Source organism: Homo sapiens, chromosome 4 (genome assembly GCF_000001405.40).
Source record: "Homo sapiens chromosome 4, GRCh38.p14 Primary Assembly".
NCBI lineage: Eukaryota > Metazoa > Chordata > Mammalia > Primates > Hominidae > Homo > Homo sapiens.
The window spans coordinates 132,671,586-132,679,017 of record NC_000004.12 but is presented as its reverse complement, the minus strand read 5'-3'; the positions used below and the strand labels follow the sequence as shown (position 1 = coordinate 132,679,017).

At 29.6% G+C, this 7,432-nt stretch overlaps 1 long non-coding RNA gene across 1 annotated transcript in view; it reads right to left on the bottom strand.

The window, feature by feature from the left end:
- Nucleotides 1–514: 514 nt before the first annotated feature.
- The window catches only part of LINC01256 (long intergenic non-protein coding RNA 1256), an 87,415-nt gene continuing 80,497 nt past the window's right edge, over nt 515–7,432 (bottom strand). The window contains exon 4 of the long non-coding RNA NR_126401.1: nt 515–595. This is a non-coding gene — a long non-coding RNA (long intergenic non-protein coding RNA 1256). The remainder of the gene's footprint in view (nt 596–7,432) is intronic.

Below are 7,432 nucleotides of genomic sequence, written 5' to 3'. Positions count from 1 at the left end.
TCAGACTGCAAATTCTTCAGCTTTGGGACTCGGACGGGTTTCCTTGCTCCTCAGCTTGCAGATGGTCTATTGTGGGACCTAGCAATTGTGTGAGAACCCCTGGTTTATGAAAATACCTTCCAAGGAATTTCTCAAAGCATGAGGATCTTTAAGGAATCAATTTTAAATCTTCTCTTCTATTTGTACTTACTCTTTTCTCACTTGCTCTGCTTGAGAAGGCCCTCAAGAATAACTTTATTTCCACCTTAATAAATAAAACCTTATCTCTATCTCTTCTTGAGACTCAATTTGATACATTTATCAAGAGGTAAAACCTTAAAACAAAGGGACTATTTTAAATTTTGATGTTTGAGAAGCCTGTTCTCTCAAGCCAACGTATACTTCTGTGTGACTTGAATTCTTTCCATGTGTTACGCATATAATTGTTAAAAGGGAAGCATGGCACTACAGATGAGATAGTTTGACCTCTGTTTGGATATTCTGAGTACACACATAATAGCATAAGGGAGCAGGATTTTTGACAGTTTTCATTTAATGCGCTTGGCTTGTCAACTTCCAATATTACAAAAGGTTTTATAGCTTCTGAGGAATAATCCTGAAACAACACAAGGGGAAGACATTGAAAATAGCTTTCACTCATCAGCTTCTCTCTTTATTTATTTATTCTACTTACATACTTACTAGAATAGTTCTAACAGAATATGCTTTTCCTCTATGGCAACTAACATATCAAACATTAAATACTTTCTGTAGGTTTCACACTTACTAGAGGCCACATACATTTTGTTCGTAAATGTTTACAGATTAACATCATTCTAGTAATAAATACTATTTGTACATGAACACAAAATAATTGAAAGAGAGCATTCCTATAAAGGCCATTTTTGATGCATTTCCCATATAATTTTATTTGTGTTTATTACTTTAATCAGTCTCTCTAATACATTTATATTTTAATTAGCTTTTATTAATATTCACAATAATGATTTAATCCTGAAGATGCTTGGTTAGAAGTTTATAGTCCAAGGAAAAATTTTAAATGTACTAAATTTCATTTTACATAGTTTTTTATAACATAGTATGATATATTGCACAGAAATTGGCAAGCAAAAAATATATATTATATTAGGATAAAATACTTGTAGGCTGGAAGTATGTATTTAGGAGATCAAGGAGAAAATGAGTAATCCAGAATCTCTAACTTAAACAAAATTAATTCATGCATTTTTTAAATGAATTATTATGAAGATATGAAATGACAGTAAGAATAGTTTGTGTGTTTCTAATAAAATTTATATTTAGAGAAGTTTTAAGTTCACAGCAAAATTGAGTAGAAAGGACAAAGAGTTTCCATATAGCCCCATTTTTTATTATGCAATATTTCAGAGACAGAGAACAAAAATTAATATAACAAATAAGTACATATATATACATATATATTAGATACAGAGAAAAGATGGGAAAGCACAAAAATAAAATGATTAAGTACATTTTCTTGGCCCTCAGAGAAAACTACCATTAAAAGTGTATTCTTTAGGATCTTTTCCTATGTTTGTATAAACATATATATTTTACAAATTGATATTGTACTTCACATAATATCTCCAGGCATTTTTTAGTTAACAATAATCATTTTTCATGGCTATGTTTTTTCAGTTTCCAATACCCATTCCATGTCCACATTTTTCCAATTGTCCTAAAAATATTCTTGTAACAGCTTTTTTATCCCCAAATGATATACAATTTAGTACAGTATCAGATTTTATATTAACATTGTTTTGTTCTCCAGCAAATGCATCCCCACCAATAAGACTGCCAAAGAAAATTAGGATACATAATTAAATTTGAATTTCCAGTGAGTAATAACTATTAGTTTGTTATAAGTATTTCCCAGGTATAAAAATGGATTATGAAAATATTTGTAAGACTAGGATTGTATTTTGTTGTTTTAATTATCATTGCCATTGTTATTATTTCTATTATTATATTGCTGCTAAATATGTACAGAAAGCATGCTTACATTTATTTTACATCTTTCAGATCAGAATTTTATTACTTTTATGGTCAAAATAATTATATGTCCAGGCCCCAAAATTGTTGTCTATTCCTAGTATTTAAATGGATAAAATGCCAGTAGCAGTTAATATATTAAGGTTCTCAATTTCCATATTTTTTGTTGTGATTAATATTTATTATTTTAAGATGAAGTGTTGCTCTGTCACCCAGGCTAGGAGTGCAGTGGTGCAATCTCGGCTCACCGCAATCTCCACCTCCTGGGTTCAAGCGATTCTCCTGCCTCAGTCCCCTGAGTAGCTGGAATTACAGGTGCACACCATATGCCTAGCTAATATTTGCATTTTTAGTAGTGATGGGGTTTCGCCATGTTGGCCAGACTGGTTTCAAACTCCTGAGCTCAGGTGATCCGCCTGCCTCGGCCTCCCAAGGTCTTGGAATTGCAGGCGTGAGCCACTGAATTCGGCCAGTAATTATATTACTATTCTTAACCTGGATTCAAGGCCTATATATTTCCTAAATTCTTACAAAATTTAACACTTCTATTAGTCGCTTTCTTACTTTTTATTTGGATGACAATTTGACTGGACAACAATGTCATGTGTCCCATTTGTTCTCCCTCAAAACTTTGTAGAACTGACTCCAGAGTTTTTTGACCTCAAATGTGCTGTTGGATGTTTTCCCATCTGTTCAAGAACAAATATGTCTTGAATTCTTAACTTCACCTCAAAATTAAGTAAATATGCTAGGTTTTCTCTTGTTGTTTACAAGTTAAATATGTAAGTGCCTTTCAAAATAATTAACGTGTATTTGTTCGGAGGAGACCAGATGCAAGTTGAAACTTCATCAGTTTTAATTTGTTATCCTGCTTATTAACGACCCCATCCATTATATTCTTCATTCCAGATGGGCCATCTTCCCTCATTTTCCCCTTTTCATTGGATCAGTAAAGTTCAAGAAAAAAAAAAACAAACAAAAAAACACCCTTTAGTCTGAATCCTCAGGATTGTAATGTAAGTGATGTTATCTCTTCTTTCTATACTTCACTCAAATAAAGAAATCTCAGTATACACAGAGTGATTTGTTAGACAGTAATGATAGAAGGTTTTCTAGCTTTATTCCTGCAGTTCTGCCATGTGTTGTTTTGCACGTCTATGGGAACAGAATATTTTTTCTGTTCCCTCCATCATTCACTTGAAAACAAAAGTTTGAGAGAGCCTAAATCATTTCCCATCTTTCAGTAAAGATTTGCTTTAAAATTTCTGAGTTTTAGATTATTTTAGTTAGTAAGAGCCATTTCGATTTTAGTTGAAGTTAGCATTTATGATTTTTTTGCACTTTTTATAATATTTTCAATGTTTTTTAAAGACATAAAATGGGATAAAATATCTTTATGTTGAATGTTCATTGCATTTTACTTTGACATTATTTTAATTATTATAATTCATCATGGAAGAAACAGAGGCTAGTTTGATAAAATACTTTATTGAAAAATTAATAGTATCACCCTAATCCAGTCTTTCTGACCAACCCTCACCATGACATCTCCTTTCCCTTTATTCATGGCAACCAAAATTAAAGTTGTTTTTTTTTTACTTTACATATATTTATTTATACTTACACAAATATAACACATGTATACATACAAATACATTTAACAGTTTTTAAGAGAACAAGTTAAAATTAGAAAATACTCTGTAAGTTGCATATTATAAACACATGTGCACCAGTACATCTGGCTTATTTGCGTGTTAATACATAGCCATATATAATTATTTTAATAGCCTTGTAATATTTTATTGCAGAATTATTAATTAGCTTTTGCAGTAATAACAAATAACTACTGAAGCTCTGTGTATTAAATCAACAAAATGTTATATTTCTGACTCATTTTATACTAAAGCTACAGTCAACTGCAGCTCTGCTTCAGGCTGCTAGTCACTTGCTTGTCTGTTCCATGTACGTTCTCATTCCATGATCAAGGCTGAAGGATAAGCCTCTAAAATGTGTTGTACACATAGCAAAAGGCAGATTGAAAGGTGCTGAGTGAAATCAAACAACTGAATATAAAGCTTTCCTTAGACAAGGTATAGGTAACATTTGTCAAATTCCTTTTGCCAAAGTCACGTGGCCAAACATTATATAATGAGTCATATATGAATATAATGTAATTATTCTAACCATTTCTCTAATGGTATCCATTCAAGTTGTTTTTGGGTTTTGTTTTTCTCTCTCCCCCACACCCGTTTATTTTATTTTATGTCTCCTCTTTTATCAGTTCATACTACAATAAAAATTTTTAAATATACCTCCTAAGGTGACATATTTAATTATATAAAGTAGAGTTGGATGAGCATGATTGCCTAGTAAAAGTCTTTGGAAATCATATAATAAAGAGGTACATCCAGAATCCAAAAATGTTGTAGAAATTTCACCCTTTAATATTGTCTATTTAATTAATGACAATGTTGTGAATACTGTGGCCTTTTTTCTGTATTGCTTATATGCCCTTTACTCACGATTCCAAGTTTTCTTTCTTAGTGTAATGACTTCTAAATAGTCTATACAGTACTGATACTTACAAGTAATAAGGTTAACATTTATTGAACATTTACCATGTGTCATGCATAATGCTAATTTATATAATTGTAAGTAAAGCTGTAAGTTAGCTGTGTATACTTCAATTTTTATCATCATTCTTAAATGAGAATTTCATATATTGTATCACAAAAATAATAAATTAATTCATAAAATAAACCATGCAATCTATCCTAGAACTTACTCTTTTAAATTCAACATGATACTATATGCTGGCATGTAATTTTTATTGGCATAGCAATCCAACTTCAGACTTACATGTTTTGCATATTTTCTCCTATCTTAGAGTTATTTTTGTTTTCATTTACATAGTCTTTGCTTTACAGAAAATTTATCATTCATTTAAAATCGGTATGTAACCCAGTCCTCTTGTTTTCATATAATTCCCATACTTATTTTTGAAGAAATAAAATGCTTGTCAGTTTGTTTTACATTTAACTTGCTAATCAATTTGAAATTTACTTTAGAGATTGTATAATTATGTTCTGTTTTATAACCGATATATACTCAATTATTCTAAAACATTTTAAAATAAAGCAGCATAATTCAATTCAATTTAAATTTAATTGAATATCAACATATTATAATTGTTGATATTTATTAGGGTTCTCTCATAGTATATGTTAATGAACATTGAACATTTTCTTCATTTTTTTATGCTATATTTCTTAGAAATTGCAATGTTCTTTTGTATGAACTATAAAATTATTGGGACCAGTTTTTAACATAACTTCTTAAAATGTTGTGCAAATATAGTATTATATTAATTTGACAAAAACTCAACATTTTTATAATACAAAATCATGTGAGTGAGGAATGTGTTTCTGAGTTTATTTAGATCTGTTTTCTGCCTTCACCGTAACGCCATAGATTTATTTTCATTATTTGTTTACTTATCTTTATAAATTCTATCTTTATATTTTGTAATCTATAAACTAACTACAAATTTAACCACTAATTAGTGCACTTTATAGAAATGTGTGCAAGCAAAAATGATATGGTTGATTTGTGCTGTTCATCTTTCTGTATTTGATCAGAAGACTGTAGTTTATTATTCATAACTCCCTTTTTCTAGTAGTCATTCTCTAAAACCCCTTTCTTCTACAGTACCACAGTGAGTTATGATACTTCTATAACTACGAACATAGTTCTATAACTATGAACATAGTAATTTATGCCTTAATATTTTGATACTTTTTGTTAATTAATATAAACAAATTTGTATCCATATGATTTATCTTCTTGGTATATCTATTTGTATTTTTAATTGATAGTAATTTCAAGAAACAATATATTTTCTTTAATTTTAAGCCAGATTTAATTTAAAAACACAATCCCCATTTTTTTCTTAGGCAGTATTTTTCTGTGGCTGTGGAATTCTAGAAAACATGTTATTTTCCTACAGCAATCAAGGTAAACTGTGGCCTTGGTATTCCCAGGCAGTAATAAATAGAACAATATTGAGAAATTGCATTTATGAAAGAGGTTGATAGGTGGATGAAGTAGACAAGATACATAGGAATATATTTTCCTTTCTTTTTTCATAACTAATTTTACAAATATACATTTTGATTCTTCATGTGTTTTAAGAAGTATAAACTGTCATATTTTACACTGTTGACAACAATGCTAAACTGATTTTTTCAAGGGAAAACAAATCATAAAATTGTGGAGAAGCAGTAAGTAGTGCAAAAAGAAGTGATTCAGTAGAGGGAAACTGGGAAATAGAATTGGGTTAAAATAATTAAGTTAATGGAGAATTTTTTTTTTAATTTAACATGAGATAGGAAGATTAAACAATACTCGTGACTAAGTATTCTTTTATTTCATTGAACAGTTTATGAGATAAGAAACCATGAATAAATTCAACATTTGGGAATCTGATTTCATAGTCAAATTATTTCCATTAATAGAAAAAAAGAATGAAGTTTTAATTTTCAGATATTTTTGTGAAGGAATTAATTTTATATTATGAAAGTATTCAAAAATGTAATTTAAAATTTTTAGAGATAAAAATAATTTCCTCTGCTTTTATTTAATACATATTCATATACAAGTCTGTGTTCTTGTCAATTAAACTACTTTCCACTTTTCATAAGCATTTTTTACTATAACCCTATTTTGATTTAAGTCTGGTTTTCTAGGCTACAATACATGTACACACACACACACACACACACACACACACACACAGAAATATGGTATTTTCAAATGTGGAATGACTTCCAATAATGAGCCTTTAAAAAAGCACTTTCTATGTTAAATTTTTACAAAAACCAACAAAACATTCTGATCATTAGTTTTGATCTGGAATATAATAATACATGTATACAATTCAAATGTAATAAAAAGTTCAGCTTTATTGGCAAAATGTATATGATAGACTTTATTATAAACAACAATTATTTTAAATTACTCACAGTTACCTAACGGTTAACTAATATACTTCACATTGCTTAGTTTAGCTTTTACATGCTTTACACAATTAAATATGGGTGGCCTTGGATAAGATGTGAAGAAAACTTAAAATAAAAATTTGACATGATTACTAATTGAACTGATAGGAAAATTGCTTTACATAAATCTAGATGTTGAATGAGAAATTGCATACAACAGTCACTTGTTACTAATATTAATAAAATTCCACTTTTTAAAAAAGTTTCGACTTTTATTTTAGATACAGGGGGTACTTGCGTAGGATTATTATGTACGTATATTACACCCAGCTAGTGAGGATAGTACTCAATCGGTAGTTTTTCAAACCATACTCCCCTCCCTTCCCCCTCTAGTAGTCCATAGTGTCCATTGTTCCCCTGTTTAT